At 51.3% G+C, this 27344-nt stretch overlaps 1 protein-coding gene across 6 annotated transcripts, besides 6 other annotated features; it reads left to right on the top strand.

Moving 5' to 3' along the window:
* The first annotated feature begins 377 nt into the window (after positions 1 to 377).
* On the top strand, positions 378 to 27325 carry DACT2 (dishevelled binding antagonist of beta catenin 2). 6 transcript variants are annotated; one of them, NM_001286351.2, is made up of 6 exons: positions 378 to 767; positions 8871 to 9003; positions 9709 to 9987; positions 25451 to 25522; positions 25958 to 26022; positions 26214 to 27325. In NM_001286351.2, exons 1-6 carry the CDS (start codon positions 522 to 524, stop codon positions 26259 to 26261), a joined length of 843 nt encoding a protein of 280 aa, NP_001273280.1. In that variant the 5' UTR covers positions 378 to 521; the 3' UTR covers positions 26262 to 27325. The 6 variants fall into 6 exon arrangements, 5 of the variants coding, with proteins under 5 accessions (NP_001273280.1, NP_999627.2, NP_001273279.1 ...); NM_214462.5 differs by lacking the exons at positions 25451 to 25522; positions 25958 to 26022; positions 26214 to 27325 and adding an exon at positions 11057 to 13251; XM_047418255.1 differs by lacking the exons at positions 378 to 767; positions 25451 to 25522; positions 25958 to 26022; positions 26214 to 27325 and adding exons at positions 799 to 971; positions 11057 to 13251.
* Positions 5524 to 6449: an enhancer, noted in NCBI's record as "H3K27ac-H3K4me1 hESC enhancer chr6:168714386-168715311 (GRCh37/hg19 assembly coordinates)". NCBI's record gives its function as "activates a minimal SCP1, AML or CMV promoter by ChIP-STARR-seq in primed H9 embryonic stem cells {active_cell/tissue: H9 hESC(primed)}" and the evidence as "EXISTENCE:reporter gene assay evidence [ECO:0000049][PMID:30033119]".
* Positions 6450 to 7374: an enhancer, noted in NCBI's record as "H3K27ac-H3K4me1 hESC enhancer chr6:168713461-168714385 (GRCh37/hg19 assembly coordinates)". NCBI's record gives its function as "activates a minimal SCP1, AML or CMV promoter by ChIP-STARR-seq in primed H9 embryonic stem cells {active_cell/tissue: H9 hESC(primed)}" and the evidence as "EXISTENCE:reporter gene assay evidence [ECO:0000049][PMID:30033119]".
* Positions 9484 to 10471: an enhancer, noted in NCBI's record as "H3K4me1 hESC enhancer chr6:168710364-168711351 (GRCh37/hg19 assembly coordinates)". NCBI's record gives its function as "activates a minimal SCP1, AML or CMV promoter by ChIP-STARR-seq in naive H9 embryonic stem cells {active_cell/tissue: H9 hESC(naive)}" and the evidence as "EXISTENCE:reporter gene assay evidence [ECO:0000049][PMID:30033119]".
* Positions 17352 to 17606: a silencer, noted in NCBI's record as "fragment chr6:168703229-168703483 (GRCh37/hg19 assembly coordinates)". NCBI's record gives its function as "represses an EF-1alpha promoter that drives an FKBP-Casp9 reporter gene in an ReSE screen in phorbol 12-myristate 13-acetate-treated (for megakaryocytic differentiation) K562 erythroleukemia cells {active_cell/tissue: K562(+PMA)}" and the evidence as "EXISTENCE:reporter gene assay evidence [ECO:0000049][PMID:32094911]".
* Positions 18503 to 19491: an enhancer, noted in NCBI's record as "NANOG-H3K27ac-H3K4me1 hESC enhancer chr6:168701344-168702332 (GRCh37/hg19 assembly coordinates)". NCBI's record gives its function as "activates a minimal SCP1, AML or CMV promoter by ChIP-STARR-seq in naive H9 embryonic stem cells {active_cell/tissue: H9 hESC(naive)}" and the evidence as "EXISTENCE:reporter gene assay evidence [ECO:0000049][PMID:30033119]".
* Positions 26139 to 26639: an enhancer, noted in NCBI's record as "H3K4me1 hESC enhancer chr6:168694196-168694696 (GRCh37/hg19 assembly coordinates)". NCBI's record gives its function as "activates a minimal SCP1, AML or CMV promoter by ChIP-STARR-seq in primed H9 embryonic stem cells {active_cell/tissue: H9 hESC(primed)}" and the evidence as "EXISTENCE:reporter gene assay evidence [ECO:0000049][PMID:30033119]".
* Positions 27326 to 27344: the final 19 nt, after the last annotated feature.

The following is a 27344-nucleotide window of genomic DNA, read 5'->3' as shown; positions in this document are numbered from 1 at the left end:
GCGGTTTCCAAACTGCAGATACCCATTGGGAAACGTGGGTAACACGGTTTTGAAATCTCTACTGCGTCTGTAATGGTAACACGGTCCTTGCAATGTGATAATGTCCCAATAGTTTATCTTTATAAACATTTTAAAACATTAACAAGCCTTTCTCCGCCTTTGTTCCACTTGCGCCTCTTTGCCCCTCTCCCCCGGGCTCCTCCTCCCGGCTGGCCCTCCCCGCTGAAGTCACGGAGGCGCTCAGCTGGCCCCGGGGTCTGGGTGCGCCCGCCCTGCCCGCAGCCGGCGAGGGGCCCTGGGGGGTCGGCGGGGCGGGTCCGGGGGAGGCCGCGGTGACCTCGGGGCGCGTGCAGACCCCGCCCTCCGCGCCTGGCCACAGATTCCAGCCCACCTTGGCGACCTGCGGAGCCGGGGGCGGAGAGAGGAGGCGCAGGAGGACCCGCGACACAGCTCGGGATCCGCGCGCGCTGGGCCTCCGGCGCCGCTCGTGGGGTTCGGGAGGCCGGGACCCTGCCCGGGAGATGTGGACGCCGGGCGGACCCCCGGGGTCCGCGGGCTGGGACCGCCGTAGGTTGGGCGCGAGGTTGCGCGCGGCGTTCGCGGGGCTGCAGGAGCTGCAGGGGCTGCGAGCCACGCAGCAGGAGCGGGTACGGGGCGCCCTGGCCCTGCAGCCCCCGCCCGCGCCCGCCGCGCCCTGCGGCCCCCACGGCCTCCACGGCCCCGAGCAGCAGCTGGAGGCGGCGCTGGCCGCGCTGCAGGAGCAGCTGGTAAGGACCGGGCGCCGGGACTCGGGGCTGCGAGGTGTGCGGGCCACAGGCGCTGCTCCTTCGGCAGCGACTGTGTGTTAGTGGGACGGGGGTGTCTGATGGATGGAGGGGACGTCCTTTGGGATTTGAATGGAATGCAGTTCGGTCTCCAAGGAGGGGGACATGGAGGCCCCGCGCGCAGGTGCCTAGAGGTGAAGCGCACAGGTGAGGACCCTGAAAACTGCCCGGGGCTGCAGCCCGCGCTCCGCCGTGCGTGGATGTGCGCCTACCCACGCCAGCATCCCGAAGCTGGCAGATTTGGGAGAGACACCCTGTTCGTTACAGGGTTACAGCACTGATCTGACCTGCAGGCACTGACCGGCGTTCCCCTGGCGGAGGTCGGCTCGGGATCCTGGCATCACTCCCCCCCCGGGGACCAGGTCCCCCCTGCTGTCTTGGGTTAGGGGCAACAGTGTCCGCGTGGTAAAGCGCACCCCGACTTGTCCTCAGGAATGTGCTGACTTTTCTTAAGGTCGCGTCACTGTAATAAAGTATTGGGGGAAAGCATGTAACTGACAAAGGCCTCTTCAACTTTAAAATGTGACCTGACCTGTAAGGAGAGGCGTGTCCTCTGATCCAGAGGAGAGAGACTCTGATTTCCCTGCCACGGGCCCTCTTCAGCACTCCCTGGGCGCTCTGAACCCCTCCTTTCACACAATGAAAGGAACTCCACTCATTACCCCTCTGCTTATTATGTTATTGTATGATTTTGTTAAACTTACTGGAAACAACTCACAAGCGTTTTCGTAGTTGCTGTATTTTCTTAAAGACAAACTAAAAAGGCTGGAGAAAGATATGTTTACTTGTGTTACCTCTGTTACACTAAGTGAAATTTCTTTTACATTAGAAATTTAAGTCTGTCCTGTTAAAAGTTACTGCCTTTAAATGTTGCCCAGGTGAAGCTGCGGCATGACCGTCTGCCTCGCTCGCTCAGCCAGGTTGTTAACATAGCAAACCCTTCTGGATTAAAGAATCAGGAAGTCCAGTGTCTGGGACGCCTCCCAGGTTCCCCGTTATCTCCTGACCTTGTGGAAGACGGAGGTGGTAGACTGTGTGGGATTAACCTGGGCCCCCAACTCTGCCCCTGATGCCTCCTGAGAGGAAAGTAGCTGGTGTACAGACTTTGTTTACTCACCCAGTGACCAAATCCTGGCCGTCTGTTTAGGTCGTTTGTGTGTTTGCACCAGACACAATCGCAGCCTCTGTGTGACCTCAGCTCAGCACACGACAGCCACAGACGTGTTACACATATGTGATGGGAAGGGAGGTGCTGCTGAGATGTTGTGTGTTTGCACCAGACACAATCGCAGCTTCTGCGTGACCTCAGCTCAGCACACGACAGCCACAGACGTGTTACACACATGTGATGGGAAGGGAGGTGCTGCCGAGATGCTGTTGTGTGTTTGCACCAGACACAATCGCAGCTTCTGCGTGACCTCAGCTCAGCACACGACAGCCACAGACGTGTTACACACATGGGAAGGGAGGTGCTGCCGAGATGCTGTTGTGTGTTTGCACCAGACACAATCGCAGCTTCTGCGTGACCTCAGCTCAGCACACGACAGCCACAGACGTGTTACACACATGGGAAGGGAGGTGCTGCCGAGATGCTGTTGTGTGTTTGCACCAGACACAATCGCAGCTTCTGCGTGACCTCAGCTCAGCACACGACAGCCACAGACGTGTTACACACATGGGAAGGGAGGTGCTGCCGAGATGCTGTTGTGTGTTTGCACCACACACAATCGCAGCTTCTGCGTGACCTCAGCTCAGCACACGACAGCCACAGACGTGTTACACACATGGGAAGGGAGGTGCTGCCGAGATGCTGTTGTGTGTTTGCAGCTCAGCACACGACAGCCACAGACGTGTTACACACATGGGAAGGGAGGTGCTGCTGAGATGCTGTTGTGTGTTTGCACCAGACACAATCGCAGCTTCTGCGTGACCTCAGCTCAGCACACGACAGCCACAGACGTGTTACACACATGGGAAGGGAGGTGCTGCCGAGATGCTGTTGTGTGTTTGCACCAGACACAATCGCAGCTTCTGCGTGACCTCAGCTCAGCACACGACAGCCACAGACGTGTTACACACATGGGAAGGGAGGTGCTGCCGAGATGCTGTTGTGTGTTTGCACCAGACACAATCGCAGCTTCTGCGTGACCTCAGCTCAGCACACGACAGCCACAGACGTGTTACACACATGGGAAGGGAGGTGCTGCCGAGATGCTGTTGTGTGTTTGCACCAGACACAATCGCAGCTTCTGCGTGACCTCAGCTCAGCACACGACAGCCACAGACGTGTTACACACATGGGAAGGGAGGTGCTGCCGAGATGCTGTTGTGTGTTTGCACCAGACACAATCGCAGCTTCTGCGTGACCTCAGCTCAGCACACGACAGCCACAGACGTGTTACACACATGGGAAGGGAGGTGCTGCCGAGATGCTGTTGTGTGTTTGCACCAGACACAATCGCAGCTTCTGCGTGACCTCAGCTCAGCACACGACAGCCACAGACGTGTTACACACATGGGAAGGGAGGTGCTGCCGAGATGCTGTTGTGTGTTTGCACCAGACACAATCGCAGCTTCTGCGTGACCTCAGCTCAGCACACGACAGCCACAGACGTGTTACACACATGGGAAGGGAGGTGCTGCCGAGATGCTGTTGTGTGTTTGCACCAGACACAATCGCAGCTTCTGCGTGACCTCAGCTCAGCACACGACAGCCACAGACGTGTTACACACATGGGAAGGGAGGTGCTGCCGAGATGCTGTTGTGTGTTTGCACCAGACACAATCGCAGCTTCTGCGTGACCTCAGCTCAGCACACGACAGCCACAGACGTGTTACACACGTGATGGGAAGGGAGGTGCTGCTGAGATGCTGTTGTGTGTTTGCACCAGACACAATCGCAGCTTCTGCGTGCCCTCAGCTCAGCACACGACAGCCACAGACGTGTTACACACATGGGAAGGGAGGTGCTGCTGAGATGCTGTTGTGTGTTTGCACCAGACACAATCGCAGCTTCTGCGTGACCTCAGCTCAGCACACGACAGCCACAGACGTGTTACACACATGGGAAGGGAGGTGCTGCCGAGATGCTGGCTTCAACTGTTCTGTCAAGGGGGTGGGAGTGCAGGTGATGATTAACTTGGCTTAAGAAATATACAAATCAAACTTGCAAGCGCTCAGTCTCTAATTACAAGTAGCCTTTTGGAAGAGAAGATCAAACAGATTTTTGTTTATTTTATTATTATTTTTTAATGTGGGGACCAGAAGGAACACGCAGACTTTGTTTTGAAACTTTGTTCTCGGGACAGATTATGTGATCAAAAGAGAAGAATAATTGAATTTGTGTGACATCAGCCCAGGGCTTAACACTTTTACATTTTTCTTACAGGGAAAAACATTAGGAGTGATAGCAGTTCTATAGTGTTGAATACAATGAACAGCCTTGCTTGCTGGAACAGTTACACACTCCAGCAGCTCCCGGCTAACTCAGGGTTCCCTCCGCCCACCCTGGTGCTCACCTGTCCATTGGTCATCATTCAGGTGTGAAGGCAGGAAGAACATTTATCAGACCTTGAGCAGATTTAGCCTGCAGGAATTCTCAGGTGAGAACGATTGTTACCATTTGCAGGGATTTAAACAGTCAGGAAAATAGCAGCACTCATCACTTCAAGGCTTGTCGCAATGTGCTGCAGCGTTTTAATTACTGTGCCACAAGAGAGTGCAGTAGAGGGTGCTTAGTAGGATTTTGCTGAATAAATAGATGAGTGACTTGTATTGCTGCAACAAAAGGGAAAATGATTTCAGAAGTTGGGATCTCCCTGTTCTGGGTTTCTAAGCTGATGAGATCCCCGTGCCCTCCGACCCAAGTGGGTTTGCTGCTGTGTGGCCAGTCCAGAGAGGGTTGACTGTGTCCTCATGTATGTCTGTGAGGAAACTTGTCGTTCCCAAGAAGTGCCGGCCATTCCCATATTCATAAGGGTTAGGTTCCCCAACAAGCCCTAGATAGAAGGACTTCATCCACTCCCTGGAACTCAGGGCCCATGAGTAGACTGAAAACCCCATCCTTCACCAGTGGGCGCTGTCTCCACAGCGGGAGAGACACAGAAGGGCTCCGGGAGTCTGCAGTGAAATCTTATCCTGAAGAATTTCCCCGTCTTGACATGGCTGGTCATGACTTGTTCTGAAAGTGGCAGCTTGCAACAATTCCTTTTCCCTGGCAGCTTCCCACATTCCATGCTGCAGGAGCAAGCTGCGCGTCTGATTCTGCCGCATCAACATGATGCCTGGCATTTTTCTTGGGCCGGCTGTGCTTGCTTTGTGAGCACACGGGAACCAAGGGAGGCAGGGTGAGAACTTGCTCAGGGCCACGCATTAGAGCCAGGCAGCCCCAGAAACCTGCAAGACTTCAGTGCTCCTTTTTATCCACAAGTCCAGTCTGTGGACCAGGGACCCCTTTGCTGTTGATTGACAGACCTCCTTTAAACTTAGGTAACAGCATTTACCTCTCTCCTGAATGGAGGGGATAGCCTTGGAATTCAGGCATAGAATGTTTCCTTTGTGCATCCTAGCTCTCAGGGATAGAAAGGAGGTGTTTCAGATCCCATCTCCATATCCTGAACAGTAAGGCATTTTTCATGTTTATCCTCCACATGTGCCGTAAAGGTGTTGCGATGTCTGGACTGTTGACTTGCCCAGGGAAAAGGCACAGCACAGGGAAATCAGGTCATTCTCTTGTGGTGCGTAAAGAATGCATTGCAAAGAAAGGGATTAACTTATTTTTTTTAACGGTACCCCCTGGAATAGAAATCCTCAAACTTTTTGTTGTCTTAAGGAACTTGTGTGGTCCCTGGGAAGCTTGTTAAAATGCAGGTTCCCAGGCTTACCTGGTAGAGTCTCAAGAAACGAGTGGGGCCTGGAGCCTGGGGTCTGCAGGTGTGCCCAGCTGATCCCACTGCCTGGAGAGGCTTGGTATGAGCGCCTTTATACCAGGCCCTCATGCCCCTTCCCCAGGCCCAGGGGTTTGGCATAGATGCCCCCAGAGCACACCGTGAGCAAGGCCGCCTGGAGTTAGCCTGAACGCTTGCAGAGGGAAGTGGAGCACGGCCATCCAGGGCTCGCTTGCTGCTGTGGAGTGAGTCGGTCCAATCATGGACATGCGTGGAGATCACGCTCTAGGGCTGGCCTTGCAGTGGACTGTCCTCCTTCCTGGCCACATATATTTTGTGACTGTGAGCACAATGTCTGACCCTAAGAAAGAGTTAATGAAAACCACAGTCAAACAAACCCCAAGTTCGGGACAGCGGTCGGGGTTACAAGCGCGGTCGGGGTTACAAGCGCGGCGTGAATCCTGAGTGGTGGAGTCCTGCAGACGTAGACGGGACCTGAGGACGTAATAAATAACCTGTGAGTGCCTGAGAGCTCTGTGTGTCCTGCAGCCCCTCGACCATTAATCAGAAACCAGCAACTGAAGGCCTGGCTGGCCAAACATTAATCACAAAGCAATTAACCCAGCACAGACACGGGGGCGGGAACGGGGCTGGGGGAGGAGGACAAAGCTGGCTGGGGTGCAGGGGCTTCCCTCCTTCAGAAGAAGGAGAGTGTGATTTGGAAGAGGACAGGGCACTTAGATCCTTTTAAACGTTGAGGTGTGGCCTCACAAAGGAACTTAATTTTCTGTCAGTACCATGGGTTTTGTTTTACACCAGGAAAAAGAAAATTCCTGTGCTGTAAGGATCCACCCAGCCCCTTTGTTTGGATCCAGGCTTCCTCTTTGCATAGCTGGTGTGGGAGAGCCCGCCTGTGTGTGCTGCTCAGGCTTGGCGGGTGGTGCTATTCACTTGGATAGTGGTTTACCTGTGTAAAAGTGTGCAGGGTAAGGAGCCAGTATGTTTACGTGAAGCTGGGTGGTTCTGGAAGCATAACATTTTGATTAAATTCAGGATTGGTTTTTGCCATGTTCACATTCACAGATAATATTATGGCTTCAGAGGCCGGGCGCGGTGGCTCATGCCTGTAATCCGAGCACTTTGGGAGGCTGAGGCGGGCGGATCACGAGGTCAGGAGATCGAGACCATCGTGGCTAACATGGTGAAACCCCGTCTCTACTAAAAATACAAAAACTTAGCTGGGCATGGTGGCAGGCACCTGTACCAGCTACTCGGGAGGCTGAGGCAAGAGAATGGCTTGAACCCGGGAGGTGGAGCTTGCAGTGAGCTGAACTCGCGCCACTGCACTCCAGCCTGGAGGACAGAGCGAGACTCCGTCTAAAAAAAAATATTATGGCTTCAGATTCTGTCACTGTGCAAACTTTGGAGGTTGTTGGGAGGCCCCTGAGTTGGGTCCTGGAGGAGGAGGTCTGCTCCTGGCACAGAAGCTGTGTGCTGGGTCGAGCCTGGCCTCCATCCCCTCACCCGTGCTGATAGTAGGCACTTGCGTTTGGAAAATCTGAGAAGTCATTCTCTCATCAGAACAGGAAACCATTGCTACCTGCCTCTCTCTTGTAATGATTTCTCATATTGTGGAAATTACTGAAGTAATTCCCTGAGGCCTAGGTTATGGGGCTCAGGGGAACTCCTCATTTCCCACGTAAATTTTGAAATATAATTAATCATTTTCTTAAGAGAAACAACCACATAATTACATTCATTAATTATTTGCCTTAATCGTAGTTGTTCATCAAAACAAGAAATGTTTTAGAATTGAAAGACGCACACACACGCACACATGTACACACACACACATGCTCATTATAAACCCTTTAGAGTGGGGGAAGCTGAGGCCAGGAGAAGGCGCAGCCTCTCAGGGCAGGGCTGTGATGGAAACTTCTAAATACACAGTCCCTTGGCCAGGCACATGCCTGTAATCCCAGCACATTGGGAGGCCAAAGAAGGCAGATCACTTAAGTCCAGGAGTTGGAGACCAGCCTGGGCAACATGGCAAGACCCTGTCTCTACAAAAAATACAAAAATTAGCAGGGCGTGATGGTGCATGCCTGCAGTCCCGGATACTTGGGCGGCTGAGGTGGGAGGATCACCTGAGCCCGGGGAGGTCGATGCTGCAGTGAGCCGTGATCGCACCACTGCACTCCAGCCTGGGCAACAGAGCAAGACCCTGTCTCTAAAACAAAACAAAAGATCCTGAAGGCCGATTTTCAAGCTGCATTTATTCCAGGTAAAGCTGACATTTTCCATGTTTTGCTGAGAACCTTCTCCCCTGGTAGCTCTGCCGAAGCCTGTAACAGTTCAAAATGCTACTTCTTCTATCAGGGAAGGAGAAGGGACTTATAGTGAAGGGGGAGCTTTTCTTTCTTTCCAAGGGACTTTCTTACCTTCTTGAAAAGTCAAAAGGTTTGTGCTCCCCAGGCACCAAGGACCCAGAGGCGGCCGAGTGAAAGGACGCCACCGCACCTGGGCATGAGATGCGTAAAGCGTTAGTACAGGAGAGTAAACCCTTACGCAGGCTGAAAAACGCAGCAAAACAGACAGTGCAGATAGTTCCTGTCTGCCAAAAGGAGGTGTTGTTTTTGATCCTGATTTCACTCTCATAAGCTGTGGAATTCTGTATCCTTATAAAGAAATGTAATTTGAAAAGTGAGGATAAGTAAAGCAGTCTGATCTGGAGAAAACCCATGTGTGTATGTGTGTGTGTGAGTGTGTGTGTATATGTGTGTATGGGTGTGTGTGTGAGTGTGTGTGTGTGGATGGGTGTGTGTGTGTTTGTGTGAGTGTGTGTGTATGTGTGTGTGTGGATGGGTGTGTGTGTTTGTGTGTGAGTGTGTGTATGTGTGTGTGGATGGGTGTGTGTGTGTGTTTGTGTGTGTGTATGTGTGTGGGGGGCGATGGGTGTCAGTAGAGCTTTCTTTTTGTGACAGTGGAACAAGGAAATTGCTTCAGAGTGAGCAGGGGCAGCTGCCGGATTTAGAAGATGTATTTCGCGTGGACTTTGGGAGTTTAAATTGCATTCACAATGCATGTTTTCACCCCTTTGAGCCTTAAGTTTTGCTTTCCATAGGTACAACAGTTCCCTTTCTCTTCTTTCCCTTCTCAGTCCCGGCTGAGACAACAGGACATCGGCCTGAAGACCCACCTGGACCAGCTGGACCTGCAGATTAGCAAGCTGCAGCTGGATGTGGGCACAGCCTCAGGGGAGGCCCTGGACAGCGACAGCAGGCCCAGCTCAGGTACCAGGGCGCCCTGACCTCCCGGACACAGGGGCAGGCACGCAGCACAGGCAGAGGTGAAGCCTATCCCGCCAGCCCCTCTTGGGCTGAAATTCCATTCCAGGTATCCTAGTGTCCGTGCAGGGAGATGGCCGCTTCGTCAGGCTGATCTGAAAGTTAGGAGGCAACACTGAAGCCTTTCTCAGGGCATATATATTAATTGGCTACCTCGCTCTTATTTTTTTAATTTGCAAAAATCACATTGTGGTCTAAGTGACGTTATTGCACTCAGGAGGCCTGTGGCTGAAGCACCTCCCCAGACTGGTCTCCTCAACTTGGCAGGCACCAGGGAAGAAAGAGAGAGACAGGGGCCAGAGGCCTGTCCTAAAAGGGCTGAAATCCAGAGGAAGAGGCCACCTCTTAGGCAGGCATCGACCACCCAGGACTAAAGGCACCACTTGCCAGGAAGAGGGAGGGCCAGGGCTGCAGAGTGCAGGTGGAGTGGGCTCTGACCAACCCACTGGCAGCTCCTGGGAAGAATCCTGAACATTCTCACCTGAGCCACTCTCTCCCAGGCCGGCCGTGTGGACGATGGCACACAGCCTCCGGTAGCCTCAGCTCAGGGGTTCCCCTGGGCCCACCTGTGCCGTGACAAGCTCAGGAGGAGAGGGGGCCCTGGGCTTTTCTGGATGGGGGTCACTGACCTGCCTTGTCTGCTCCGTCCAGGCTTTTACGAGATGAGCGACGGTGGATCCTGCTCCCTGTCCACGTCCTGTGCCTCCGTCTGCAGTGACCACATCTCTCCCTCGCTGGGCAGTTTGTTGCCTGTGGCCCAGGCCCACAAGGCCAGGCCCAGCATGGGGGACTGGAGGCCCCGGTCGGTTGATGAGACTACTGTGCCAGCGTGGAGACCCCAGGCTACCGAGGAGGGCGCCAGGCCCCCAGGGAGCGTGGAGGATGCAGGCCAGCCGTGGGGCACATTCTGGCCCAGGCCTGTGTCTACAGGTAAGAAACTGCCAGGGAAGGTGGGGGTCTCATCTCAGGCACAGGGGATGGCAGAGTGCAGTCCCCAGCTGCTGAGGGCAGAGCCGGGGACCCTACACGGAGCACGCTGTCAGGCTCTAAGGGACGCTGGAAGGCCTCCGTGGGCCACGTGGTGGTTTGGATGGAGGCAGGAACCAAATGCGGCTGTGCGCATCACCACCAGCTCTAATAACACACAGCACTTTTCCCTGTATTTAAAATGGACATCAGCAAGCTTAAAAAAATCCTTCAAAAACCCTGGATCCACTGGTGTTTGGAGTGAGAGTGGGGTTGAAAGCGCTGGTGGGGAGAGAACCGGGCTCACACCTGGATCCCACCCGCTGGCCCAGGAGGGGCTGTAGTTGTCTTCAGACTGTCTCCAAAGGCACAGATGTCATTTTTGGCCTTGTTTTATTTCTAATACAAGGCCTGGTTTAGTAATAACCATTTGGTCTTTTCTTACTGAGAAGCCCCGTGGTTTCCTCCAGGGCATCTGCAGGGACCAGCTTCATGCCCCTGGCCTCCCTTGGGGCTCCATCCCACTGCTGCGGGGCCTCTTCAGCCTCCAAGCCCTCAGGGAAATGAGGGCGCTGAACTGGCGATTCTCCCTGCCCATGCACTCTCCCGCAACGGGCAGGATCAGAACAGGCTGAGGGGGCCGCGCTGCAGGCGCAAATAGGGCCCCGCACCCTGTGTCTACACGCAAACGGCCCCGCACCCTGTGTCTACACGCAAACGGCCCTGTGCGGTGTCTAGATGCAGACGGGCCCCACGCCTGTGTCTAAATGCAAATGAGGCCCTGCACCCTGTGTCTAAACGCATTCCCGTCTGCCCCGCGCCCAGTGTCTTAAACGCATTCCCGTCTGCCCCGCGCCCTGTGTCTACACGCGGACCTCAGTGACTGTGAGTCGCCGTCTCCCATGGGACCCAGGAGTTCCTCGAAGCAGTGAATGAGCAGCGTTTCCATCCCAGCTGCCACGCATGAAATGAAATCAACAGTGCACTAAATCGTCTCCGTAGTTACGTGTTTGTTCATTTTTCTCGCTCCCAGGTGATCTTGACAGAGCCCTGCCGGCGGACACGGGGCTCCAGAAAGCCAGCGCGGACGCCGAGCTCCTCGGGCTCCTCTGCCAGGGGGTGGATATCCCGCTGCACGTGCCGGACCCCAAGTATCGGCAGGACCTGGTGTCCCAGGGCGGCAGGGAGGTGTACCCGTACCCCAGCCCCCTGCACGCCGTGGCTCTACAGAGCCCCCTGTTTGTCCTGACTAAGGAAACCCCACAGAGAGGTGGCCCCTCGTTCCCTAGGGAGAGCCCCAGGGGCCCCGCAGGTCTGAACACCATCCAGACTGGGCCGGTCCTCGAGGCTGGCCCGGCCAGGGCCAGAGCTTATATCGACAGGTTGCTGCATCTGTGGGGCCGGGAGACCCCAGCAAAGGGTAGCGAGGGAGAACAGGGACCTCTAAGGCATGCAGCGTCCCCATCTCCACAGAGGCAGGGTGGCTGGAGTACAGACGGTGGAGGGCGACTGCTGGTCTTCGCCCCAGGGAGGGAGGACGAGGGAGGGCCAGCTCAGAGCAGGGGTGCCGGCAGGGGCGGGCCCCAGCAGCAGGGATACATGCCCCTTGAGGGTCCCCAGCAGTCTGGCAGCCTTCCAGAGGAGGGCTCCAAGCCCTCAAACAGCTGTGTCCTCAGGGAGACCATGGTGCAGGCTTCTCCCAGCTCAAAGGCCCAGCAGACACCCTCAGCTCAGGACTATGGACGAGGCAACATCATATCCCCATCCAGGATGCTGGACAAGAGCCCCTCACCGGCCTCTGGGCACTTTGCCCACCCATCCTTTGCTGCCAGCCTGAAAATGGGTCCCCCCAAGAGCAAGGCTGAAAAAATCAAGAGAAGTCCCATGGACAAGGTGCTGAGGTTTGCAAGGCAGCCGCTGCTTCTACTGGACAGGCCTGAGGGAGCCCATGCAGCCCCCCAGCCATCCCTGGAGTGGGACCCTGCCCACTGGCCCACAGGGAGGGGCGGGCTCCAGCGGAGGCCAGCCCTGGCCTGGGAGGCACCCGGGCGCTCCTGTTCTGAGTCCACCCTCTACCCCATGCCTGTCCTCGTCCCCTTGGCAGTGGCCCCGCAGGAGAGCCACCGGACCTCAGCCCAAGCCCTGTTCCCCTTTGAGGCGTCACTGCTCACCTCAGTGGCCAGGAGGAAGCATCGCCGCTGGCAGTCCACCGTGGAGATCTCGGCCCGGGCCCGCCTGGCCAGCTGTCCTGAGTCTAACCTGGGGCCCCCCAGGCCCGTGGCCAGGAGAGCAGGTGGCCCACTGGCCCGGGGCCGTCCCTCACTGGTCCGCCAGGACGCCTACACCAGGAGCGACTCAGAGCCCTCCAAGCACTCGGCCGAGTGTGACCCGCGGTTCCCGTCAGTCATCCCGGAGACCAGCGAGGGAGAGTCCAGTGACCACACCACCAACCGATTCGGAGACCGTGAGTCCAGCAGCAGCGACGAGGAGGGCGGCGCCCAGAGCAGGGACTGTGACCTGGCACTGGGCTATGTGGCGGCCGGGCATGCGGAGCTGGCCTGGACCCAGGAGGCCCCGGTCAGCTCGGGGCCACTCCTGTCCCCCGTGCCCAAGCTGTGCCGTATTAAGGCCTCCAAGGCCCTGAAGAAGAAGATCCGCAGGTTCCAGCCGACGGCCCTGAAGGTCATGACCATGGTGTGAGGTGCAGTGACTGCGTCAAGAGAAGCCTGCTGCACACAGGGGCCCTTTCCATGCAGTGTCCTGTGCATGTCTGGGTTTCAGTGTCGTCTTGCCAAGTCGCTTTATCTTCCGAGGCCACCGTTTAACAGGAGTCCCCGCAGATGGGTTCTGCCCTGTGGAGTATGGCCGTGAGTCCCCGCCCCAGCAAAGACTTCCATGCGGAGCTCTGGTTTCAGATGCCAGCAGCCTCCCCGGCCGACCTAGTGTCTCTTTTCAAGGTCTGCCCAGGATGCTGCTTCCCGGCATGCACCTTGTTTCCATGTTGTCATCCTCCCATGGCTTCCCCTGCCCTCACTCCCCTCTGGCTGGGGAAGTGTTTCCCAATCCTTTGACCATTCCTCCCCAAAAGCATTTTAAAGAGGCGGTTGCAGGACTCTGAGCTGGAAATTGAATTTGAGTTTAAACTCCACGTTAAGCTGTCAGCATACACAAACACCCAAATTATGCCATGATCTCAAATAAAAGGAACATTTTTTTTCCCTCTTTTAACCTCTTCCTCCCTGATTCCTTGTGTGGCACATGGTAGGGTCACCATAATCATCATGCCTGCCCATCACAGGGCACGTGCCAGCTTTGGGCGGGGAAGGCATCTTATAAGTGAGTAGAGACTAAACTCTGGTTTTAGTATAAAAAGTAAAGCATAGGCCGGGCGTGGTGGCTCACGCCTGTGATCCCAGCACTTTGGGAAGACAAGGCGGGTGGATCACAAAGTCAGAAGATCAAGACCATCCTGGCCAACATGGTGAAACCCCGTCTCTGCTAAAAATACAAAAAAAAAAAAAAATAGCTGGGTTTGGTGACATGCACCTGTAATCCCAGCTACTTGGGAGGCTGAGGCAGGAGAATTGCTTGAACCCAGGAGGCGGAGGCTGCAGTGAGCCAAGATTGCGCCACTGCACTCCAGCTTGGGCTACAGAGTGAAACTCCATCTCAAAAGAAAAAAAAGAGGGGGCATAAAAGTGTTTTGGGGAAAAGAAAAAAAAAACTTTTTTTTTGGTGTTTACTTTTCCAAAGGGAATTTTCCTCAAATTTTCAAGAAGAAAGATAGCAGTGTTTTCAGGTAAGCTGCCTGGTGAGGGCCACAGCATTTTCAATTCAGAAAGCAGCTTTCTCCTGAAAGATTAAAAGAATTTTACATGAAGGTGGAGAAGGCCGTTGAAGTCCCCGCAGACGTCCTGGGCCCCTCAGGGCTGATGCAGTGGGGCAAGATCGTTGGGAGGAAGCCAGTCAGAAAACCAGAGGAGGACAGGAGTAGATTTGGAAGGAGGCGTGAAATATTCCTGGAACAAGGAGTTGGTTTGAGATGCCTGTAAGGAACTTCACGTCTGGAACAAAGCGTAGGTGAGGGGAGGCTGCTGCTTAGCTCCCTGACAGTGAAGACAGTGGAGGCAGGGTCTGTTCTCTGTGCACACCACGAGAAAATGCAAGCATTTCCCAGGGGTCAGAGCAGACAGATTCAAACACCCATTGAGCTCGTCTGTGTGCAATTTCACCTGCCCTTCCTGAAATCTGCTTCCTAACAGAAGGCCAGAATCTTCCTCAAGCTTTCTAAACACCTGCATTGAAATTTAAAAGGATGATTCAAACCCACTCATGGATGGGGGTGTTATTGTAAAAGTTAATTCACAGGGTATTTTATAAAAATGACAACATTTTTATAATGAAGCGTGGCTTCTCCAGGACCACTTAGCAGGTGAGGCTGTGACGACAGCCCCGTAGCCTGAGTCCTCGTCCTCACTGAGGACTGTGGGCGCAGCCTCAGTCCACGCATGTTTTTGTAGCTACCGGGCTGAAGACGTGGCTAGGAAGTTCCATTGAGTCACACATTCTGCTCACTCATTGGTGCTTTTCGCAGGAGCTTGAGTGCACTCTCCAGAAAGTGCAAACTTCCTGTTCATCCTCCGTGGTGACCTAGCTTGTATCACAACTCTAGGCAGCTCCGACTCCGTGTTGCAGGCCAAGATCACAGGGAATCAGCCCATAAGGAGAGTGAGTGCAGTGGGTCTGGGCTCCTCAGGGTTTTCTGACAGTGCCCGTCTTTTAGAAAGCTAGGCGTGGTTTCCTAGACATTCAGCTTCCAACCTGCAGCCCGGAGGGGTGCATTCCAGCCAAGCGAATTCCTTCCTGCTCCGCACAGTCCTGCAAGCTGACCAGGAGAACCATGCAGACTCCAGACAAAATGCAGCCGTTGCATCGGGGGCAGGAAGGGTCCTCAGTGATCTGACAGTCCAAATCAATCAATCAATCAATCGTTCTCCTTCCCTTGTCTCTCCATCCTCTCTCTCTTCCTCAATAATGTGCTCTCTGGCTTTTGCTTTCTCTCTCTCTCCCTCTCTCATGCTCTCTCTTTCTCCCCCATTTTAACTGTGGAGGCCCAAACATGCATTTCAGTTTGCCTGAGGCCCAAGGCCTTGCCAGTGCTCTTCTACTCTCCAGTAGCTTTGGAGTAAAGAAGTAGAATTCTCACAGATTCCATGGGGGTCCTCGGAGGGTTCCCTAGCCCTCCTGCCCCGTCTACCCGGCACCCTGGCTCCTTGCCTCCGCTCAGTGTTCTGCGGGACCAGGCAGCCCAGGACAGGAGGACAGCTCTGTCTCCAGTTCCCATCCCGCCTGGCCTCCTCATAGCCTGGCTGAGTCGGCTTCCTCCTTCATCAAATGAAGCTGATAGCTCCTCAGGATTTGGAAGGAGGCGTAAGCTGGCAGTTTGAAAATGGGACCCACATCTGTCTGTGCTCCCCACAGTAGGGGCAAGGGGTGAGTCGGCCCAGGTTATGGCCTCCCTATAGTGTGCAGAGTTGGTGAGCCTCCCTGACCCATCTGCAAACATCGCCCAGGCACCACCAGGAAGAGCGGGCAGATGCCACGTGCAGGCCCAGGGCAGATAGCAGCCTGGGGAAATGCTTTAAAACACAGTTAACAATTAGAACGCCAGTCATAAGAAGCCCGTTTTTGAGAGGGCTGACGACAGGGTGCTGATGGGCGTGGCAGAGTCTTAAGCACTGTGAATTCAGAGAACAGGGATATTGCAAGAAGGCCAGGTGGCCCAGGCAGGCGCGCAGAAAGAGGATGGATGGAGATGCCCTGTGGTGAACATTCGTCTCCTGAATGTCTTATGTTCTGTGCATATTTTTCCTCTAAACAGACATAATTGTAACCACTCACACAGAAGCAGAAATGAACCAGGAAGCCCACTAAGGCAGAGCGTGGCCTGTCATTTGAGGGGGTGTGATTGATTAGATGACGGGGGCAGACTTCAAGTGCGTTGGAAGACAGAGGAGCTGTTTCCCTCTCTCTCAAGTGATTAAAAAGTAGACAATGTAGAATTTGACTTCCGGGGTCTTTAGAACTAACTTCTAGCATGCTTACAATAAAAATATTTTAACAAAAATAAAAATAACAGGATAAAGTTGCTCTTTATCCTTTCTATCCTAAAATATCCTATCCTCTTCTATCCTAAAATGAAAGGATAAAGAATTAAAGTTAAGCTAAAGTAAAAAATATGTCAGGAATTCTAAATTATAAGAATTTGTGAAAGATTTAATTATAATATTAGGGAAAATGTCCCAACCTACTTTAGCAAATCATACGTTATCATTGAAGAAAACAGAGCGTATCATTACTGATCAAATTCAGGAATATAAGCGGGCACCCCAGCAAAGTTTTCTCTCTACATCCTCTTGCTCCAGCTTGTAGAATAATTAAAGCCTGTCTTGGTCCATTTTGTGTTGCTGTAACAGAACTGGGTAATTGAAAAAGAAAAAAGGCTTATTTGGCTCATGATATGCATGGCTGGAAAGTTAGACAGGCAGTGGCATCTGATAAGGCCTTTATGCTGCTTCTACCCACGGTAGAAAGCAGAAGGGGACCGGGCGTGTGTAAAGAGACACATGGTGAGAGAAGAAGCAAGAGACAGAAGCCGAGGAAGCCATTCTTTTAATCACCTGCTCTCTCGGGAACTAGGCCATTCCGCCAGAGCGAGAACTCACTTAGCTCTGAGGGACTGTGTTGGTCTATTCATGAGGGTTCTGCCCCCATGACCCAGAAACCTCCAGGACCCACCTCCCAACACCACCACATTGGGGATCAAATTTCAAATTTTGGCAGAGGTTTTGGTGGAGACAAACCACACGCAAACCATAGCAGAGCCCTCTTATGACAGAATCCGAGGTTCTGTACAGTTACTGGATCCTAAACGTTAAATACATAAAGCCTGATGGAAAACGGGAGCGCATCTGGAATGGATTTAATGCCGTCCCACCTTACGGGTCAAGTATGTATTTAATCTCTGCGAATAAATGAAAGATCAGTGAAAAAAGGGCAAAATTATTATATAATACAGATTTCATGTGGCTTTAATGTGATGGTGCCTAGTTTTTAAATGGTTGATAAAAAGTATATTTATTTTTAAAGATTAAAGTCCACAAGAATTTGTTGACTGTCTTTTTCAATCACTTGCATAGTTGGCCCTGCTAGGCTTTGAAATGATGCTGTAAACTGGGCATGTTCACACACCGCGGCCCTCAATCACGTCACATGGGCCCCGCCACTATCCAGCAGACACAGCCCTTTTCAAAGGGGGCTTGTCTGGTGAAAGCCATACACAGGGTGTGTTCTTTCATTCACTCAGTTACCAAATGTGCTGAGCTCACTGGGTGGCTGCCTGTGCAGTCAAGGTTGGGCGGTGCAGACAGGAAGGGGCTCCTCCCCTCCTCTCCTGAGCACTGGGGCTCCTTAAGGCAGACTCATCCCTCCCTCCTGCTGCAAACCCTTCCCTCACATAGCCTTGGGCTCCTGAATCCCACTAAATAAAATCAAGCTATTGCATAGTTGAAATGTTTGCTGGTTCAACTATCCAAATTATTTTTACCTCAATTGAGTTAAATGCTGCTGCAACTTTTATGGCCTGGAGTAGAAAATGCAATCACATCAAAAGGTGCCCTGGAAATGATAAAGAATTATGAAAACAGCCCTCTCTGAAAACAGGTTATGTATATAGCAAGAGCAGTGGTGGGTAAATGGTCCCAAAAATATGGCTAAGAGAAGAGGACCATGGTTCAACATTCCTTACACATTTGGGGACAGCATTGCATTTGGGGGCCCAGCTGGAGCAGAGTTTTAGCTCTCTGCTCGTGGAAGTAGAGCATGGCTGTAATACCACAGCTGCTGACTCAGCCCCTGCTGCCAACCGCTGGGAGACCAGACCCAGGAAAGGATAGACAAGCTGGCTAATCAATAACCCAAGGACAGCAGAGTCCTACCTGACACTGGGCCTTCCTGAGGAGACGGAAAGCAGTGAACCTCTGTAAAAGCTTAGAGGTAAGCGGCGGTGAAGCTGGGCAGTGAGGAGCTGGATGGGGGTCGGGGAAGAGGCAGGCGGAGGGAGTGGGGAGAGGAAGACAGGCGAGTGGAAGGAAGAAGAGAGAGAGATAGTGCAGGAGCAATCCAGGGAGAAGAGCGGGCCCGGAGCCGGGAATGAAGCTGGACAGTCACCAGGTGTGGACTTGTGGGTCATCCCATAGCTCCCAGTTCCACCTGGGACAAGGGGAACAGCCACTGCCGGCTTTGAAGTGTGGAATAAACAAAGGCCGCCGGGTGTGGACAAACAAAGGTTGTTTATTCAGGGCTTGCCGCAGTGAGTGGGCTGGGCAGGCAGAGATGCTCACAACAGGGAAGCTTCCCGTGAACACACAGAGCCCCAGCTGTGCCCTGTTGGAGGCCAGGCTCTGGGGACACCACAGCTCTAATGAGAGGCGGGCATCCTGGGGGCGTATCTCGCCTTCTCTGGTTGGTCCCGAGTGGAAGCAGGGACAAAAATTAGGAAGCTGTCAGGACTGATCAAGTCTTGGCCCTCCGGAGCTGATTGTCACAGAAGTTACTGTTGAGCTTCCTGGGCTCTCACTAAAGATGGCAATGTGGCTCCCTGAGAGCCTGACCGGGCCACTGGCCTCCTGGGCTGTGTATTGCAGAAAAGGAGTCGGCTTTCTGGGCAGGTGTGGGTCAGAGTTCTGCTTTTAGATACGATCCAGCCTTGGACCCTTGTGTGTTCGGTTCCTCAGAAGCAGAGGTGTAGGGGGAGAATGTAATTACATTTGTGTTTTAGAAAGACCCGTTCTCTGGGAGGCTGAAGTTCCAGAGAAGGGGCCTGGCCCAGGGTCTGGGCATGGGGACTCCATGCCTGTGAGAGAGGCCCACACAGGCGGCTGCCACAGGAGGATGCAGAACTCCAGGCTGCTCGGCCTCCGGAGGCCCCGGTCGCTGGCCGCTGTCACAGGCGACAGCAACAACGGGCTCCAAGAAAACCGGAGACTCTTCCATGGCGCTTCTTCTTCATCCCCAGCAAGAAATGAGAGTTTTTGTTTTGTTTTGTTTTTGTTTTTTGTTTTTTTGTTTGTTTGTTTGTTTGTTTTTTGAGACAGAGTCAATCTGTCGCCCAGGCTGGAGTGCAGTGGCACGAACTCAGCTCACTGCAACCTCCGCCTCCCAGGTTCAAGCGATTCTCCAGCCTCAGCCTCCCAAGTAGCTGGGACTACAGGCACCTGCCACCACGCCTGGCTAATTTTTTATATCTTTAGCATAGACGGGGTTTCACCATGTTGGCCAGGATGGTCCCAATCTCCTGACCTCGTAATCCACCCACCTTGGCCTCCCAAAGTGCTGAGATTACAGGTGTGAGCCACCACACCCGGCTGAGAGTTCTTACTGAAATCAGAATATTCTTATAGAAATAATGCTCTAGTCAATCTTTTAATTTCTATTTTTGAATTTTTAATTCCACTTTATTTCTGTTTTTCTTTTGGCTACAGTCTCCTAAGCAAGGGCAGGGCACACACCGGGACAGAACAGCAAATCGATGACTTTAGTCGCTAAACTAAAGCTTCATTCTCCTTAAGAATGACTCTCCTCCATCGCCACCCCTCACCCCACTTGAGGACTTATCTGGAATTTCAAATGTTTGTTCCTGCAAATGCATCTTCCATCCTGGGTGACAGGAAGTGTCTGGTTCCATGACGATGAAGCAGCCACAAGGCCTCTCTGTGTCAGTGCTGGAGAGAGAGAGCTTCCTTCCTCCTGTCCTGGACCCCTCCTGGAGGGACGCTCCCAAGGCTGAGATGACACAGTCATTTCCCGCATGCTGTCTAGCACTGACCCACCCATCGCCCTTGTCCTGGTGCTGGTCTGCAGCAGCAGTGAGGGGGACCCCTTTGTGTGAGGGCTGCACTGGCCATCGTTCAGGAAAAGGCAATAGAGCCTCTGCAGTCTTTGAACGCCCTCGGTGCCTCCAGCGCATTGGCCTTAGGACAACACTCCTTACGGGGGGTCTCTGAAGTCTGCCCGGAAGACACTCTTCCAGCCCACCGGGTCCTGCAGCCAAAGTGCATGGTGTCCCCTGGCCCTGGAACAAGTCTCTGTGTGACCCTGAGGGTCCCTGTAGAAACAGCCACATGGCCCCTCCTTCATGGAGCCCAGCGTTCCTTGTTGATTTTCGGCTTTCTTACCTGGCCTCCGCTGTCCATCCTTGAGGTGGGCTGGTGCTCTAGGGACTTCCTGCAATGACGGGTTTGTGTTGGGTACAGAAAGAAGCTATTGTAGAACCGTCCGACGATGGAGCCTTCAGGGACGCGGTGGCCCCGGAGCACATGGTGACATGCTGGAGAAGCTGGGCAGTGCCCAGGAGTTGGCACGTGGGGACTCGGTTCGCTGAGTTCGCTGAAAGCAAATCCGTGTTTTGCATGAGCGGCCTGTGTGTCTGCTGGCTCTAAACCTGCCTTGTTTTGTCCAGCTGTGGCTGGGATCTGTGACTCCTTGGAAGGCATTTCACCTCACTCAGAGTCACAAAATTCAAGCAATGACAAGAACAGTGCCTGGAGTAGAATACCATTTAAATTTTATTTATATTCATTTATTCACTGTCAAATATCCTTTTTATTTAACCAAATTTCAAACTGTTAGAAACAGTGGAGGTTATGGAACCCAGAGTCAGGCAGATCCTCAGAGTTTGTCTTTATTTGCAGCTGTGAGCACAGAACTCACGTATGTTCATCTCAGAAAGATCACAGAAGCACAGGTGCTTAGAAGAGCTGACACCAAGCATGTGGAAGGAATTTAACTTCTTCATGTATTGGTACAACTGAAACAAATTATGCCTAAGCTGGGGAGACCTGCACCAGCTACTGGATTGGTTGAGGAAGATGAGATAATATGATACCCTATTTAATAGGAAGATTATTTTACATATAATTTTCCACATATAATTTAGGGAAAATAGTAATTTATTAAAGGACTCTCAGGGACTTGTAGTTGAGAAAATGTTAACTATTTGGGTTAAGGGACATGTTCACTAACTCTGAGATTTATAGCATAGTTGTGAGTGGCTGACATTTACTATCTACTATTTATTTTTAACGAGTATATATGATTAATAATTAGTATTTACAAAGTACTTCCACAAAAATCTTCTTCTGGTGCCCATGACAATCCTGTGAGGTAGATATTGTGGGTATTTTATATCTACACTATATTTTAAAGCTAAAAGAACCAAAGCCGAAATGAATAGTTGGCTTGCTCAGGGCACCCACCCAGCCAGCACGTGGAGGTGTCTGAAATTAACCTCAGGCTTCTTATTTCCAAAACCAATCTGTTGCCCAAGGTCCCAGCTCACAACTAGAGCAGAAGCCTCTTTGAACAGATCACAGCTTATGTATGTATTCACGTGTAATCTCCACAGTAGCTACGCTAGGTCATTGCATGTACATGAAGGTACGTGAAGGAATGGATGGAATTATCTTACATTAGGGAAGATGCTAACCTCCCAGCTGAATTTTGGCGTTAGCATGACACTTAGCATCTTTCTTGGCTGTTAAAATAAAGCATAACAGGGTGGCAGGAGAGGATGATATACCACCACTAAATACAGTTGGATCCCAAAGGTGTGTACTTGGCCTCTCTGTTTCTATTGGTTCATTGCCTTTTTCTTATTCAAAAACATATTTAAAATTTTGAAGTATTTAAAACAAAAAACAAATGCAAGTACCACATACCCATTCCTCATGCCCTCGCCAAATGGATCTGGGGCAAGTTAGAATGCTGCTCCATTTCCTTCAAATAGTTAATTTTCAAACAATAAGTAATGTGTAAAAACTGTATCTAAAGCCTCTCCCTCCATCACAGAGTTAGCCACAGCTCTGAAGTCAGGACGGATGTCTGCTAAGTTTGCCTATATTTACCTATTTTTTCCTATACTTATAGGTACATGCGTGTACCTGAAACACCGCCAAGCATCCTTTTACATTTTCATGCTTTGAATAAATGTCATCATTTTTCCAATGTGTGTGTTCACTCAATATTACATCAGGATATGTGACAATTACCAGGAGAATATTTACTGAGCTCTTTGATAAGCCAGACTTGGTGCCATTCACTCACACAAGTTCTCCTACAGACGTGTGAGGAGTAATCACTCCTCACCAGGGGCTGGGACACGGACCCACCCGGGCTGCGCCGACACCTCCACACGCCCGTGTCTGCCCCGTGCTGCCCTTGACTGGGCCATTGCCCCACTGACCAGGCCAAAGTTCATCCGTCCATTCCTCTAATGATGGACTCTTACGTTGCCGTTTCAAGCAACGCTGCAGCAAACATCCATCTCTCTGTCTTTCTGTCCACGCAAGCAAGACTCTCTCTGTATAGATACCCCATGTCTCTCCCAGGTAGCTGTATGTGTTTCATCTGTCACAAACTACCACAGACTTGGGGGCTTAAAACACAGCAAATTTATCCTCCTACCATTCTGGAGGGCGGAGGTCCACAATCATTCTCCCTGGGCTGAGTTCCAGGTGTTGGCAGGGCTGACTCCCGGAGGTTCTAGGGAAGAAGCTGTTTCTTTGCCTTTTGCAGCTTCTAGAAGCCAGTGGCTCTGGGCCTCCTCTTCCACTGTGAAAGCTGGGAACATCTGTGAGTCCTTCTCAAGCTGTGCCTCTCCTATTTTCTCCCTTATGCTTCCCTCTTCCTCTCATGAGGACCCCTGTGATTATCACACTGGGTCCACCCGGACAATTGGGGATAGTTTCCCCTCTCGGGTCAGTTGATAGCCACCTAATTCCCTTGGCAAACTTCATCCCCCTGTGCCACATCAACTGACATATTCACAAGTTCTGGGGATTAGGACGCGGACATCTCTGGGGGACCATTGTTCTTCTGACCACACTCCCACCTGCCATGCCCAAGACTTCCAACTTTCTCACTTCCAAAACATGGTATTGTCAGGCCTTTGTAATGGTGCCAAATCAAACAGATATAAAATGGTGTTTAATTAGGGTTCATTATGTGCATTTCTCAGTTTATAATGAGGTTGAACAATTTTCATATTTTTCTTGGCCTTCTAGTTTCCTTTGTGAATTAACCTCTACATACCCTTTTCCCCCATTTTCTCATTGTTTTCATTGATGTGTAGGAGTCCTTAAATGTGGACACTAGTTTTTGGTGAGTGGTAAGTTACAGGTTTTGCGAGTATCACTTCCCCAGCTGAGGCTTGTCTATAAATTTGTTGATGGTGTTTTGGCTGAGTGCAGGGTTTTGGGTCAATGTCATCATATTTAGGGATCTTTTCATTTATGATTTGTGGGTTTTAAAAAGTTGTATTTGTAGAGCTCCTATGCAGTCTGCTATTATACAGCTATTCCTTATTGTTATTAGCAGTTTAGCATCTTTGCCTTTTGCCTGGAGGTGCCCGTGATACTTGCCCTTGTGTAGGAGGAGAGCTCTGCTGCTGATTCCGGGTGCTTGTCCTCCATGACCATCTCCTCACCGCTGTGGATGGATCCACTCTTTCCCTGATTCTGGGTGCCTGTCCTCCATGAGCATCTTCTCACCACTGTGGATGGATCTGCTCTTTCCCTGATTCTGGGTGCCTGTCCTCCATGACCTCCATGACCATCTCCTCACCGCTGTGGATGGATCCGCTGTTTCCCTGATTCCGGGTGCCTGTCCTCCATGACCATCTCCTCACCGCTGTGGATGGATCCGCTGTTTCCCTGATTCTGGGTGCCTGTCCTCCATGAGCATCTTCTCACCACTGTGGATGGATCCACTCTTTCCCTGATTCTGGGTGCCTGTCCTCCATGAGCATCTTCTCACCACTGTGGATGGATCTGCTCTTTCCCTGATTCCGGGTGCCTGTCCTCCATGACCATCTCCTCACCGCTGTGGATGGATCTGCTCTTTCCGTGATTCCGGGTGTCTGTCCTCCATGACCTCCATGACCATCTCCTCACCGCTGTGGATGGATCCACTCTTTCCCTGATTCTGGGTGCCTGTCCTCCATGACCATCTCCTCACCGCTGTGGATGGATCTGCTCTTTCCGTGATTCCGGGTGTCTGTCCTCCATGACCTCCATGACCATCTCCTCACCGCTGTGGATGGATCTGCTCTTTCCCACTGGCCTGTGCTGGCTCCAGCTACCTGGGCATCACGTACGTGAGGTCTCCTCCTGGGGACACAGCTATTCTCTTTCACAGTTTATTTCTTCATCCTCCAGTGACAAATAAGTCAACTCTGCAGCTTTTGAATAAGGCTTGATAACGACTCTCAGCCAAATATCGCAGCTTTTCTTCTTCCATGCTGTCTTGGCCATTTGGGTTCTTTATACCTGTGTGGATCACAGGATCATCTTGTCAAGTGAAAAGCCTCTGTTGGGTTTCAATGGAATTGCATTTATATTTATAGGCTGACTTGGGAGATTATGACGATCTTCATAACAAGTCTTCATGTCAGTTAACCTAGTTCTATTCTATGCACCTCAGTAAATTTTTAAATTTTTTTCTTAAAATTATGCCCATATTTTCTTACATGTATCCCTATATGCCTTTTCTGTATAATAAATAAAATTGGAATTTTAAGTTAGGTGCATGTACCTGTATGTATGTTACTGTGTTTATTTTGTATCCTGCAGCCTTATTAAACCCTCTCACTAGTTTTGGGAATTTGCCTGTGGGTTCTGTGGGATTTTCAGTGCCTGCAATCAAACCAGGCAGAGTGTCTGTTTGAACCCAGTAAATAACACTCCTCTTTCCTACCCAGGTTCTGAAGCAAAAGCAAAGTCAAAATTTAAGCAGCCAAAGGTTATACTATCGATTCTATTTGAGAAAATACTGGTATTATATCTGCGGAAAAGTGGGCTACCCAATATTGAGCTGTGAATTCACAGATTTGCCCACCTGATCCTCAGAAGATCCTGTCGGGGTGAGGGCCTTGTCACTCAGCTGCCCACGCGGCTCAGGAGAACAGTTGGAGTGGCTCCAAACAGCAGAGGAGGAGGAAGGGGCAGGACTGCTGCCAGGGCCCCAGCATATGCTTGGGACTCAGCACCAAAGGGAAGATGCTGAGCCCCTTGTTCCACAAGCAAGACTCGGTGCTGTGAAAGGCACTTGAGTATAAAGCAGCTCCTTTTCATGCCACGGTTTCTTCCTCAACTTGTCAGGATGTGTATTTGCTATTTAATGTCATTCAAAGTATAGAAAATTAAAATTTTAAATTGTGGGCATGAATTCTGTTGTTTGTCTTTATACTGCATGCCAGTGTTATAAAATCTAAGTTGCATGCAGAATCATTGAAGCTGCAGAATCGCAGAATCGTTGAAGCTGCAGGTGTGTTCTGTAGCTCTCACGCACATTTGCATTTTGTTCTTACCAGAGCTGTGCAATGCTCCAGGTGAACTTGACATGCATGCTCCGCCTGCAGGCTGCACCTCCAGTTCACTGACAGGTAGGGAAGGATGTTCTTCTTTATATGTGTATATATATATATATATATATATATACACACACACACACACATACACACACACACATATTTTATTATACTTTAAGTTCTAGGGTACACAGAAAGGGGAACATCACACACCGGGGCCTGTTGTGGGGTGGGGGGAGCGGGGAGGGATAGCATCAGGGGAAGGATGTTCTTAGCAGAGCCGTGCAATGCTCCAGGTGAACCCCACGTGCACGCTCCGCCCACGGGCTGCACCTCCAGCTCGCTGACAGGTAGGGAAGGACTAGGAGGGGAGAAGCGTGGCCGTCCTCTTCCCCTTCCTCTGTGTCCTCACACCTAGCCCCAGTGAAACGGCAAGCATTCGGGGACAGATGTGACAGAGCTCCTGGCACTCATGTTTCTCAGGATGGCATTGCCTTCTCTCTGTGTTAGGTGTAGGTTCTGGTTTGAGAGGAAAGTGTGGCCTCTGTGGCTGTCAGCTCCCTTTCTGCTCAGTGGTAAGTGCTCCATGCTCACTGTCTGTGTGCTTCGGGTCTAGCTGCACAACTGCCATCGCGGGTCTGTGCTCATGGGCATCGTGGGTGCTCTGTGGGGACGGGGAGGCAAAGAGCAGTAGCAGACGTGCGTGTTGGATGGACCTCCTCTACTCACAAGTAATCTCTGTCATCCCTGGGGACGTCACTTACAGAACACAAGTTCAAAGACAAAATCATCAGGAATTTCAAGACAGCAATGACAGAGCACTACACCAAGCTGGGGGCTGCATTGACTGACCAGTCACAGGCTGGAAGTCGGGTCCTGGCCACAGGCCCAGCTTCTTCTCCCGATATCATCGGCCCCCCTCTGCCCGCCAAGTCACTCTGCTTTCCCCACAGTGAGCCAGTGGGAGCTGCAGAGAAGTGTCCAGAAAGGACTGCTGGTCAGTGGAATTTCCTTTACGTGGAAAGTTGAAGTGAGGGAGTAATGGACGTAAGAGAGAATGGTTTCTCCCTAACAAATAGACTGGAAATTCCAATCCTTCTACTTTCTGTGTGTTTTTCTAGCATGACTGCAAGTGCTGGGGCCATAAGCACCATGTTCAGCAGCACCCAGGAAGCAAAAGTAGTTGACAGAATGTTAGTGAGCATTCCTTCTTGTTTTTATTTTTTTTTAAAGCCCCTTCTATATTTCATAATTTTTGTGATTTTGGGTAAATACAATGTTATCATAAGTTAAGGAAAAGTTAATCTTTTTAGGCTAGGAAAAGTTCCAGTTTACGTGCATATATATTATTGCAAAATGATGTGAAAATTTAATATTTTTTGAGATAATTGATATTTTTCATTCACTATGTTAATAAGATGAATCATATTAACAAAATGTCCATTGCTAAACCAATCATGCATTCATAGGATGAACAATGTTTGGTTATGGTGTTTTTGTTTGTACTTTTAAATGGTACTTAAACATAATTAGGGAGAAGATGAGCTCCAAAGCACCTGGCACAGCTCCAGCAGGCTCAGCTAATGGCCGGTCTTCTCATTTACCAAACCCACGTGGCCACCCCGACCTCAGACGAATTTTTTTTACAAAGTCCAGACATTCAATTATTTACAATGTGTCTTTTTAGGACACTGCCAGAATTAGGTTGTAAATTTTTTTTTAGGATTGTATCTTATGTTCATAGAAGAAATTGGCCTATGAAATTTCTTTCATATAATACTCACATCTGGTTTTCATCCCAAAGCTAAACCAGCCCATAAAAGCAGCTGTGATGGTTTTCTTCTTCTTATATTTCAATAAATGGTATGTAAAAGACAGGAATCATATGTTCACTCAA

Source organism: Homo sapiens, chromosome 6 (genome assembly GCF_000001405.40).
Source record: "Homo sapiens chromosome 6, GRCh38.p14 Primary Assembly".
NCBI classification, from domain to species: Eukaryota; Metazoa; Chordata; class Mammalia; order Primates; family Hominidae; genus Homo; species Homo sapiens.
This window is presented reverse-complemented; position numbering and strand designations above follow the sequence as displayed.

Bases quoted from the DNA above. Each gene is read 5' to 3' on its own strand.
- DACT2 (NM_214462.5), top strand. From the start codon at position 522: ATGTGGACGCCGGGCGGACCCCCGGGGTCCGCGGGCTGGGACCGCCGT. The intron at 9,004-9,708 runs GTACCAGGGCGC...TGCTCCGTCCAG, and splicing joins CGACAGCAGGCCCAGCTCAG to GCTTTTACGAGATGAGCGAC. The intron at 9,988-11,056 runs GTAAGAAACTGC...TCTCGCTCCCAG, and splicing joins GCCCAGGCCTGTGTCTACAG to GTGATCTTGACAGAGCCCTG.